The sequence below is a fragment of the Homo sapiens genome, chromosome 14 (genome assembly GCF_000001405.40).
Source record: "Homo sapiens chromosome 14, GRCh38.p14 Primary Assembly".
In the NCBI taxonomy this organism is placed as follows: Eukaryota; Metazoa; Chordata; class Mammalia; order Primates; family Hominidae; genus Homo; species Homo sapiens.
Genome location: NC_000014.9, coordinates 91,881,430 through 91,894,007, shown reverse-complemented (window position 1 = coordinate 91,894,007; position 12,578 = coordinate 91,881,430). Strand labels below are relative to the sequence as shown.

Here is a 12,578-nt window from a genome sequence, read left to right as displayed (position 1 = left end):
GAGGTGAGGATGATTTTGCTTTAGTTAGAAATAATGCTAAGAGAAGGGAACACTTTCGCTTAGTCACAGAAATGTGGCAAGTCTTGAATGTGGATCAGTAGATCCTGATCTTACATCAGTTCCTTTCAACACCCTGTCTTTGCCCTTCCCCGCCACCAACCACCACACCCACCCCACCGGCTATGGCCTTCCATTTTACTCCTGAGGAGTCAGTCATCACCAATTGAGAACTGCCTTTGCAGTTAGCATCTGCTCTCTGATCTTTCTGTTTATTTTACTGGAAGGTTATTTTCCTTTCTTCCCCTCTAGTTTTGGGTTTAGCCAAGTGAGTGAATTCACAGCAAACTCTAGCTGTCACTTCAATTTCTAATTCTAGGGTGTGATTTCTATGCTGTGTTTTCTAGAAAAGGCCCTGCCAGTTTAAATTCTCTAAGACACCATTCTGTTGCCTGAAAGTCAGTCCTGGAGGAGTTGAGAAACAGATCCAAACGAAATCATGGAAACAAAGAAAAGCTACCTCTTTCTAAGTTTCTTGATTGAGGCTGAGTAGGTCTGCCCTCAAGCCCCGTCCGAAGCATCCTTGAGGCCTAGATTGGCTTGATTCTCCTTTCCAGGCTTGCACATGGGCGTCTGTGAATATGACAGTCACTGTGCATTCAAACCAACCTCTGCTATAATGGAAAATTTGATGCTACTTATTTGAACATAAGCAGATCAGTGACAGAGAGTTATTTGTACAGGAACTTAATATGTCGAATTTCAGAGCTGGAAAGGATGTTGAATATTATGTCATCCAACTTTTATAGCATCGCAGACTGAGACTCATAGAGAAAGAACATTTTAGACAAAGTGAGTTGGGTCTAACTTCCAAGTCTCCCGTGTCTCAGTCTAGTTTTTTTTTCCCACCACAAGGGGCGCTGGAGTGGTAGGGGGAGACCGGGCTATACCAGCCCTGTTACAGAAACCCTCTGATGTGAGGGGTGCCAGCAACTCGGACATTCCTCTACCTGGGAGGGTTGTTCTCTTCCTGGGAGCATGGAGCTGTGGAAAGGATGCTCATGGATGCCTAGCATGGTACCATGTGGCCCAGCCACTCATATTCACATCTGAAAGGAAGACGTCGCCTAATTATGGCTGAACTCCTGCCCTCCCCTGGCTAAACTCACCTTTCCCTTTCAAAATGCAAGTTCCATAGCCACACACTGTCTGTTCTGTGTACCACTGAAGATGCTGCTTTTGCAGAAAAATGAGGGGTCAGGGGGGCTGCCTTTTTTCCAAGGTACCCGTAGTGAAGGGTACCCTCTCCAGCCCCTGCTGCCTGCCTGGCCTTGGTGATGTGCCCAACTGCACTCTGGGAAGAAGTCAGGGCCAGCCACTGTACAGCCAATGGGCCCTCTATGCAAGAGCTGCTCTGCACTCAGGGGCAGTGCAGTGGCCAGGTTAGAAGTAGCCGGGACTTAGAGACAAAACAGAATCACAGGACAGGGCACAGAATCTGAGAAGGGCTGAACAATAGGTAAGGGATCAAGATGGATCTGGGAGGTGGAGTCCTTCCTGGCAGTAGGTAGAAACCAGGCACAAGGACTGAGGCTCTAAGCCGGCTTCCAGAGTCCTGGATGGCCCCTGGTTCCAAAGGAACAGGGGGACCAGGGAGGAAACCTGGTTAGATTGGGGGAGGTGGGGATAAGGACCAGTTCCAGCTACAGTCAGATCAACTGGTCACAGCAGGAGCCTGTATTGGTGCCATCTCAGACTCTGCCAGGAGGCCGGTGATTTCATTCACTACCCTTACCCCACAGGAATGAATTCTCCAGCCCATTATCACATCAGCTTGGGGTGTTGAGAAGTGCTTTCCCAATGACATCAGGCTCCCCATTGATGGATACATATTACAGGGAGGTCACATTGCCCAGCTCTGCTCAAAGGATCCATTCACCCACAGTGCCGCCGCTTTCCCTGGCAAGGCCAGCTGTGGCTTGGAAGAGATGTGTTTATCCAGAGTTTTATGTTCACTCTGGTGCAAGGAGGAGATTCAGGGTGAATTCCAGTGCCCTCATGTTACTGGATTCATGGGTCTCCAGGGTCATGCTGCCCAGCTCATCCCAGCCTAACTGGCTCTTGTTCCTGACAGCTGGACATATTCATTGTTCATGGAGCTGGCAAGGAGCCTATTGGAGTGATGCTATGGATTCTTCTTACGTGTTAAGAAGAATCCTGGGCAGTGGAGCCTCTATATGGAATCTTTGAGTTGAATCTTAACATTGGATAAATCTTAAGAGCTGGGTAATCTCAAATCTTAGAGCTGGGAAAAATTGGAGAGTCCATCTTGGATAAACCTTAGTGTTGAATCTTAGAGCTGGGTAAAATTGGAGAGCTCATTTTGCCCAACATCCCAATCGAAGCAGAAATTTCTTCTGCAACTTTTAGGATAGGTTCAGGTATTTATGGGACTGAGATGGGTCGAGGAGGGGAAAGATTGTGGGGAGATTGAGCCTTGTATTCGAGACAGCATCACCATCCGTGACACTCAGTAGGCACTGTCTTGGCTCCTGTTCCCATTTGCTTCCGTTCATGATCCTGTTTGGGAAGAGCAAGGCAATCATGCCATGCTAGTGGGGGCATCATTGAGTGAGGAGACCTGTCTCACTTTGCTTGCATTTCTGTTTCCAGACATTGATGAATGTCGCTATGGTTACTGCCAGCAGCTCTGTGCGAATGTTCCTGGATCCTATTCTTGTACATGCAACCCTGGTTTTACCCTCAATGAGGATGGAAGGTCTTGCCAAGGTATGTGACGTGCATGATAACTTGGACATGATGTGAGACACTAGCTGCAGCCTTCTTCAGCACCTGGCAGCTTATGTTTGTGGGAAATACTGCTGCTACAGTATATTCCCATTCCTTGCCACTGCCCGCCCATCCCCATTACTACAGAAACGTGAGACCTGAACCTTGCTATGCGAAGCATCTCAAAAAGTGCTCTGAATATGGCTGAGGGTAGGACCCCAATCCTCCACTGGCTGGGAGTGTACAGTTTCATGGATTCGCTTCTTTTCTGTGTCTGCTATCCAGAAGTAGCCTTGCTGGCTTTCTTGCCTAATCAGAAATTTGGTTGCATGTCCTGTAGCCTAAGTTCAGTTCCTGAGGCCTGAGGAGGGTTGGTCAGGGTCCCTGGCCCTCCAAGAATCATAAAATAAACACATCCATGCTAGGCAGGGGTGTCGTGGGCGATTCTGAGGTCTCTTGCTATACTTTTCCCTCCAACCTGTGCCAGGATGGCCTGTTCCTCAGCAAAGGGTCTGGTGGTGGTGGTAACATCCCCTGCTACTCAGCGTGCCCCCACAAAACCAGACTGAAACAAAGGCATTTTGTGGTTTTCACATGATCATTTGAAATACTGATAAGTAAGAAAAACAAGTTGCATGCCTATTGTGGTTTCCATCTGAAGGTTTCTTCTGCTCAGGAAGTGAATGGGGGACTTAAGACCCAAGGAATTAGCGCAAATCCTGCTTTGGCCCCCGACTTCCCCCTCAAATTCCAGCTCCCGGCCCAGGCCTCCAGCCCCTGGCAGCTGCTTGGCCCAGGTTGGAGTTGGAGGCAGTGCTGCAGACGCAGAATGAGGTCTTTGTCTGGAGACCTCAGGCTTTGCAGGGCCCATTTCCTTGTTTCATTCACCCTTGGAGTTCTGGCTGGCAGGCTCCTGGCCATTGAGTTTGGAGGCTATTAGGTCTCCTTTACTTTAATTGTATCTAAATCATCGGTAAATAGGAAGGCATCAGTGTTAAAGAGTTTGACCCTGGATTCTTTCTAAGTCTCTCCTCCAAAGCTTGTTCTGCTAATTGTTCCAAGAATTCTGGACTGTGTTCCTCACGCCAAAAGAGGTCATTTTCTTCTGAGAGTAGACACCAGGCCAGGAGGTTGAGGAAGCGGATAAACAAGGGCCCTTCCTTCCCACTGGAGCAGGAGGGGGCGCCTGGCTCCCTTGCTGCTGTGATAAGCAGCTTAGGGCAGATGCAGGCTTCTCTGTGCCAAGGCCTGGGATTGGAGGTGCCAGCCACAGGCTGGCACCGTGCCCCCAGTACCTCCTGAGGCATAGCCATGCCCAAGCCAAAAGGTGCCTGCGTCTTTCAGGCCTCTGAGGGACAGGTGTGTGACAAAGAGCAGATAATACACCTGGCAGTGCCAAGTCCACAGCATAATAAAGCAGCAGGCCCGGCACCCAGGCCTGGGTATGGGCACTCAGCCACTGGGATGCTGCATCAGCAGGGCCCATGGGCAGCACAGGGCGTCGCATACTCCGGTGAGCTTTTGCAATCCTGACTCTTCGTGTGTGGAAGAGTGCTGTACACGCTAGAGCATTGTCACGTCTGTTCATCTCACTGAACCCAAATAATAAATAGCCTCTTGAGGTCAGCAGGCAGGTGTTTGTGGCTCTGCTTCACTGAGGAAATAAAGGCTCAAAAAGGTTAAGCAACTTGGCCAAAGTCACACAGCCACGTGGTAGCAGATCTGAGAGTAAAACCAGGGGCCCAGACTTCTTGTCCAACAGGTTGGAGTGGGGCCCTGTGTGCCCTCAGCAGATTCAGAAGGGCATTTGGAAAGGGCTGGCAGGAAAGGGCAGTGAGAACCCCAGGGGGGCAGAATCATTTTGGTCGCCCTGCTCTTCAGAAGCAGCTGAGAGCGGTGAGGGGGTGGAATGAGTTCATTCACCTCCGAGTGGCCAGCGCCTGGCCAGAGGCTGAGGCCACCAGCCCTAACACTTGCCGGCACTGTCCTGTCTGAACTTGCACTCAGTGGCTTAGCACAGTGGACATTTTCCTACCCCCTCCTGTCCCCGGTGGGGAAACCCCAACCTCCCACGGGCACTGGTGGGGGCCAGTGTCTTGCTAGACCCTCTCTCTACAGCTGTTCATTTATTTGTTTTCTCCCTGAGAGCTCCAGAGATGCTAGGAGGCAGGAACTTTGTGGCCATGGGATTAGCCTCCCCTGTAAGAAAAGCCTCTCAGTCTGCTCACCGTGAAGGCTTTTAGCTCTGAAAACACTGACATCTCTTTTCAGAGGCCTAAGAGGTTTACATGGACTTGGGAAGAGGATAGAAAATCTCTCAGTTGGAACTTTGGCCATTGGTGTATGGAGCATTGTGGGATGGTGCTTACAATGGGTCAACCAATGCCAGTGGGAAAGAGACTCTTCCCTGCCCTCCCCGCACGATGAGCTGTGCAGAATGAATCTTGGTTTTTGTGGAAAAACCCCTGACTCATGTTCCAGTTCCCACTGTGTGTCCTTGTTAGCTGGTGGACTTGGGTACACCTCTCAATCTTCAAAAACAATTATATGTATATGTGTGTGTGTCTGTGTGTGTGTGTATATATATATATATGTATTTTTTTTTTTTTTTTGAGACAGAGTCTAGCTCTGTCAACCAGGCTGGAGTGCAGTGGCGTGATCTCAGCTCACTGCAACCTCTGCCTCTGGGGTTCAAGCGATTCCCTTGTCTCAGCCTCCCAAGTAGCTGTGATTACAGGCACCTGTTACCATGCCTGGCTAATTTTTTTGTATTTTTTTAGTAGAGACGGGACTTCACCATGTTGGTCAGGCTGGTCTCGAATGCCTGATCTCAGGTAATCCACCTGCCTTGGCCTCCCAAAGTGCTGGGATTGCAGGTGTGAGCCACTGCACCCAGCCTATAATTTTATTTTATTTTTTTTTGAGACAGGGTCTCACTCTGTCACCCAGGCTGGAGTACAGTAGCATGATCTCAGCTCACTGCAGCCTCAATCTCCCAGGCTCAAGTGATTCTCCCTCCTCAGCCTCCCGGGTAGCTGGGACCTCAGGCGTGTGCCACATCACCTGGCTAATTTTTAAATTTTTTGAAGAGATGGGGTCCCACTATGTTGCCCAGGTTGGTCTCAAACTCCTGGGCTCAAGCGATCCACCTGCCTCAGCCTCCCAAAGTGCTGGGATTACAGGCATGAGCCACTATGCCTGGTCCTTCAAAAATGCTTAAACAATCTTATTGATGCATAGTCAGTGTATAATAAACTGCACCATGATTTTATTAATTTTGACATACGTGTACCCGCATGAAACCACCACCACCACACTCAAGATAATGGATTTCCCATTAGTCCTTGTGTCCCTTGGTGGTCTTCTCCTTAACCTACTTAACCTCTAAAGTGGGCCAATGGTCCTCGTTGTAAGGATCAAGTGAGTGCAGGATCCTTCCCTAATGAGCAAAGTTATTTATGCATAATAAATATATTATTAGAATCATCATGGTTATTTGTTAACCTGAAACTTCCAAGTCAGTGAGGGTGAGGGGTGTTCACTGATGGAATGCAACCGGTGATGGAAGGAGCAGGTATTGCCTGGAAATTCCTGGTTGGGGGGGTGCGTTGGAGCATAGACTTACCAGCAGGTGTATATGTGTATATGTTTATATCATGTGTATACATATGGTTTCCACTTTGCCTGACTTTTGACCCCAGAAGGGACATGTGGATGGAGGCCCCGGTCCTTAAGTGAACACTTTTGGATCTAAGATCATGCTCCCAAAGGTCCTGGGTGGAGAGCCTTGGTACCTGGGACTCTGGTCTCCTGGTGGTGGTAGATTTCGTTGCTGGTGCTTTTTCTGCCTAGTTATTGTGGCTGTTCTGTTGGGAGGACAGTCAGCAATGTGCCTTGGCTTTCCACAGATGTGAACGAGTGTGCCACCGAGAACCCCTGCGTGCAAACCTGCGTCAACACCTACGGCTCTTTCATCTGCCGCTGTGACCCAGGATATGAACTTGAGGAAGATGGCGTTCATTGCAGTGGTAATGGGCTTTCGCATTGGAAACTTCCACCTGTACTTGGGGCCTGGGCAGGGGTTGAAGGGCAAGGGCTTCCTTCATAGGTGTTTCCTCTCATTTCCTGGACACATGTCCAGTTTGGGACATCCTCCAGGGCAGTGGGGTCAGAATCACACAGAACAGAGATGAGTCACTTCCCAAAAGGTGAGGTGGAGTCTCATCTTCCTTGTCATCTGACCCTTGATGCAAAAATTAATGGGGCTACCTTCTAGGACAGAGGTGGGGTTGAAGAGGGAGAGCAGTCACCCGATTTGGCATGTTGGTTTGAGAGCTGTCTGTCCTCACCCAGCACCGACTCAAGTCTTGGGGATATCACAGAAAGTACTTACAGAGGGCAGTGACCCAGGAATAATAGCATGTCTTATCGGGTAGGGTTGGGGGGAACATTGAATGAATGAGAACATGTATGGAAGCACATATGTTCTGTGAACTTCTGAAATCTCTACAAATAATCAGTGCCTCACTCCAGGCCTGGCACCCAGGGAACATGCAAAAAAAAATAGTTCTCGAATCAATGGATAAATGATTGAATGTTGAATGAATGAAATCGTAATAATTTGTTGTGAGAACATAGATATGATGGGTTAGTTGACCTTTTATAAATTCCTTCCAAGCCCAAGGAAATAAGATTTTCTGCCCACACTAGTTTATGGACTCTATTATAATTTTCTTATTAACTCCCTCTTTTTTTCCCCTAGAAAGTTAAATTTTTTTTCTTAGTTAGAAAAATATTATTGGATTGTAAACTCCTTGAGAATAGGGACCACCTCTTACTCACATTTATCTCTGTAGCATCCCACATAGGGCCACACACAACTCCTTTTCTTTCTTTCTCTCTCTTTTCCTTTCTTGCCTTGTTTTTTGTAAAGGTTAGATTAAAGTACACTCCATTTCAGCCACTTCTGGCATCATCAGCAGTTGTGAATTTGCAAAGTCTAAATTAATAATGCTTCACTGTGCTTTCAAAATAAGTGGGCCATACACTAGGGCGTGAAAAATCTTTCTGTCCTGCAGAATGGAAAGTTTCCTAATCCGGGTTTTATTGTAACAGGAACTGACCCAGGTCATGAATGGAACTTGTGTGATAGTCTCACTGACAACTGAAGTGTTCTGGGGACAGCGTCCCATGAAACAGATGAACACCTCTCCCTAGGGCCAGGACAGTCAGAGCCACAAGCAGGAAGTTCCAGAGAGCCTTGGGCTGATTAAATACAAGGCCCAGAAACAGAAATAAAATACCCTCAGGCATGAAAAGCCACTTTCTTCCTAGATTTCAGTTCCCTCCGTGGCACTCCTTGGGGAGTTGGGGCCAAGGAACTAAGAAGTGTGGAAAATCCAACATTATGTGGTGAGATGATTTGTTTCTCCAGAATCCTCCGTTAATCCGCAGACGTTTATTGCCCTACTGCATAGGCCATATGGTAGAGTGACCCTGGAGGACCTGAGTTCAAATTCTAGCTCTGCCATTTACTATTTTTCTTGACCAAGTCACTCCCTGAGTCTCAGTTTCATCCTTTATTAAAAAAAATCAACCAGCCAACCAACCAACCAACCAACCACCCTCATAGAGTGGTCAAAAATTAAATAAGTTGGCACGGCCCAGAGGGTGGCCCAGCTCCAGGCTGGTTCCAGGCTGGCTGGAAGCTGCTGCTTCCCATGTCCCAGGGAGGATCCAAGGTAGGCGGGCCACTGAGAGACAAATATTCCTGCCTACCCCACAACACTCTGGACTTTTCTCTTTCAAGGAGGTTTTTTTTGGACACAGTGGAGTTTTAGTCATTACATGTTAATTTATCTTCCCTAAGTGTAGGTGTAAGAGACTTTTGGCTTCTTGAGAAGCTTACATCCATGCCGATTTGGCCAAGATTTTCAGTTGACTCATTTTGCCCCAAATGGCCAACTTGTCCTCCATGTTCTCCATGATGCACACCCTCCTGAAGACTTGGTGTGACCCCGGGATATGTAGGCTTTCTAGAGCAGACTGGCCCAGGATAACAGGGTGATGGAGAGAGTCTGTTTCTGCACCTTCCTACTTAACCCCTTTCTGCACTTCTCCATTTCCGCAGGCACTGTTATCCTCACTGTGTTATCACGGCTGGGGTGGCCTCTCCGTGTAGCCCCAGACCCCTCCTAGCCTTGTCTCTCAGGGATTTGCTAAGCTGAGCTGTTCCTGGAAACCATGGTGGGTTCTCATGTGGAGGAGTGAAAGTGGCCTAATACATGCTCCCTGCCAGAAACTGGGCTTGTATTTCAGCTTTCCACTGGAGGGTGGAGCCACAGCCCTAAGCAAAGTCTGGGAATTGCAGACCCAAAGATAAACCGAGTAGGGTCTGTTACAGCCCCTCCCTGCCCAGTGGGAGTTGGGAGTAGGTGCTACGCTCTCCATCTGCCCTGGAGCTAACCCTGCTTGGGTGCTTGCCCCAACCTCAGGGCTCCCCAGCTCCGCTGATCCCTCAGCACAGTTACTCAGGGAGACGTTACAGTGTCGTGTTTCTAAGTGTAGGATCTAGAGGCTGGGTTCAAGTCCCAGCTTTCCTCCTTACTGGTTATCTGTGAACTTGGTCAAGTCAGCTAACCTCTGTAAGTCTCAGTTTTTCTTCTGTAAAATATGGAGAGTGATAGCACCTCCTTCATGGGGTTGAGGTGAGAATTAAATAAGAGGAGGCATGTAAAGCATTTAACCCACTGCTTGGCATATAGGGAGCCTCAGGAATTGACAGACATCACTACTACTCTACTGAAAGTATGAGTGGAATCTACAAACTTGGAAATAAAATAGGACAGTCAGTTATGATGGGCTGGAGCCAGAGACCCGGGGCTCTACAAGGCTTCTAGGGGAGGCGGGGAGGCACAACCAAATCAGATATTACCTGAGCACACGTGACTTTTCAAATCAGCATCCTAATTCTGCTGGCTGATAACCCATCACCTGAGGACCCCTGAGAGAGACAGGAAGGAGTTTTTCCTTCTGGGATGTGAGAGGCACAAGGCGTGTAACACCCGGAATTATCTGATGGTGGAGAGGCAGCTTCTTTTGCGTTGACACCCTCTCTGGGTGACTCCAGCCACCAGTGGTCTGTGAGTGAGAGAGTAATCCGAGGACATGTCACATGGGGAAACTAGTGAAAGCAAGTTTTTGGGAAACAACAAATGCAAGAACAACATGTTTTCTTTGGCATGCTTATCGAATGAGGCTCAAACAGGGGCTCTGTTGCCAAACTCTGTGTGTGATGAAGAGTTGGCTTTTCTGGAACGTCTGCTTCTGCATCTGCATCAACCGCCATAGCCCATGCGGATGAGTTGTAAATCACATGGACAGGGGCTCCCCTCCACGTCAGGCTGGCTGGAAGCTGCTGCTTCCATTGTCCCAGGGAGGATCCGAGGTAGGCGAGCCACAAAGAGAAAAATTATATCCCTGCCCATCCCTCACCACTCCGGAGTTTTCTCTTTCAGGCAGTTTTTTTGTTTGTTTTTGTTTTTGTGTGTGTGTGTTTTTTTTGTTTTTTTTTTTACACAGTGAAGTTTTAATATAATTAAAATCCTGGCCTTTTGGATATGTCCCTTAATTGTGACTTTAGGAACAATATTGTTCCTGAAGTTGGGGAAAGAGGTGATTGGAGGGGAGTTGGCATTGCGAAAGTTGCCCCTTCAGAGGGCCCTCTAGGGCCAGGGAATGTTTTTTTGGGAAACCCCCAGAAAATCCCAGTGGGCAAAGAAATCTCAGCCCCTTAGGCAGGTCAGAGGCGGAGGGTGGATTCCCCTACATGGTGAAATAGGTTTATAATGAATGGAAGGTGCAGCCGAGTGAGAGGCAGATGTTGAAAGCTCGATGGAGGTGGATTTCAGCTCCATGTAGGAAATAATTTTCTGACAATTAGAGCTGTACAAATATCAATGGTTATCCTCAGTAGGTAGTGAGCTCTCCATTGCTAGAAGTGCTGGAGAAGTGAATTGACAGCTTCTTGGCAGTAAAGCCATTGTATGTATCAAGACAGTGTGAGAGTTGGAGTAGATGGCCACTAAGCTCCCATCCCCATGTAGACTGGGATTACAAACAGCAGGTGTGACTTGTCACCCCAGATATGGACGAGTGCAGCTTCTCTGAGTTCCTCTGCCAACATGAGTGTGTGAACCAGCCCGGCACATACTTCTGCTCCTGCCCTCCAGGCTACATCCTGCTGGATGACAACCGAAGCTGCCAAGGTAAGGCTGTCCGGAGGGGCCTGGCTGGGGTGTATGTGTGAGGTGGAGCTGCTTCAGGGGCTCATCTGGATATCCTCACCTGGGGAATCATGTGCAGCTTTGGGAAGGTGGCAGGGGTGGGGGTGTGAGTGGGTGCTGGTGGCTCTCATAGTGGCAGCTCTGGGCAGGATGCCTGGCCTGTTGTCTTCCTTCCCTGTAACCCGTCCTTTGGCCAGGATATTGGCCACTTAAACTTCTGTAATGAACTCTGCAGATGCAGACGGCAGCCTCTAAGCGTGGCTTTCTGCCTCCCCAGGCAGATCTCTGAGGCTCCTCTGAGAACTGCTCCAGAGCTAAGCAGGACTTTTATGGCCTGGCCAGAGCCCGGGCTTTCTTACGTGGCCTGGAGGGCAGTTTGGTTAGCCTTTCTCCAAGTGATCTCCTAGAGCATGGTTGCCAGGGAGACCTCATGCACCTGACTGCTCTGTTCCTGCAAGGGCTGGGACCCCAGACTGTAAAAGGGGTGGGCCTTCTCCTGTTTGCCTGCTTAGCCTGGGTTCCAGCCCCATGCTCCACCCACTGAGGGGTCATTGCAGAAGCAACTGACCCATTCTCAGCCTCCTTGAACCTGCCTTATCCCATTGCCAAGCAAGAATTCTCCGTAGTAGTGCCAGGCAATAGAAATATCATGTGAGCTACAGATGTGAGCCATCTATGTAATTTTACATTTTCTATTAGCCACATTAAAAGAGGAAAAAAATGGGTAAAATTACTTTTACTACTATATTTTCTTTTCTTTCTTTCTTTTTTTTCTTTTTGTGACAGAGTCTCACTCTGTTGCCCAGGCTGGAGTTCAGTGGTGTGATCTTGGCTTACTGCAGCCTCTGCCTCCCGGGTTCAAGCAATTCTCCTGCCTCAGCCTCCCAAGTAGCTGGGACTACAGGCACATGCCACCATGCCGGGCTAATTTTTGTATTTTGTATTTTTAGTACAGGCGCATGCCACCATGCCAGGCTAATTTCTGTATTTTTGTATTTTACCATGTTGGCCAGGCTGGTCTTGAACTCCTGTTTTTACTACTATGTTTTCTTTAATGCAGTATATCCAAAATATTATTTCAGCATGTATTCAATATAAAAATTATTATTGATGAGATGTTTTACATTCTTTTTTTAAATTAAAAAAAATTATATATATAAATAAATAAAATTAAGAGATAAGACCTTGCTTTGTTGCCCAGGCCGGTCTTGAACTCCTGGCTTCAAGTGATCCTCCTGCCTCAGCCTCCCAATGTACCGGGATTACAGACGTAAGCCACTGTGCCTGGCTCACATTATTTCTTGGTACTAAGTCATCAAAATCTGGTGTGTATTTTCTACTTACAGCACATCTCAATTTGGATCAGCCACATTCCAAGTACTCAGTAGCCACATATGGCCTGTTGCTGCCATATTGGATAGTACAGCTCTGTAGTAAGATCCAGCCTACCCCACCCCCACGCGTCTGGCCTGGCCAATAATGCCCTGCCTCCGCTTCTTGTCTCCC

At 48.2% G+C, this 12,578-nt stretch overlaps 1 protein-coding gene across 7 annotated transcripts in view; it reads left to right on the top strand.

Moving 5' to 3' along the window:
• FBLN5 (fibulin 5) overlaps positions 1-12,578 on the top strand; it is a 78,284-nt gene that overhangs the window by 53,687 nt on the left and 12,019 nt on the right. For all 7 annotated transcript variants that reach the window (NM_006329.4, NM_001384160.1, NM_001384158.1 and 4 more), the window contains 3 exons: positions 2,671-2,787; positions 6,696-6,815; positions 10,932-11,054. In NM_006329.4, the coding sequence (NP_006320.2) occupies positions 2,671-2,787; positions 6,696-6,815; positions 10,932-11,054 (360 nt within the window). The remainder of the gene's footprint in view (positions 1-2,670; positions 2,788-6,695; positions 6,816-10,931; positions 11,055-12,578) is intronic.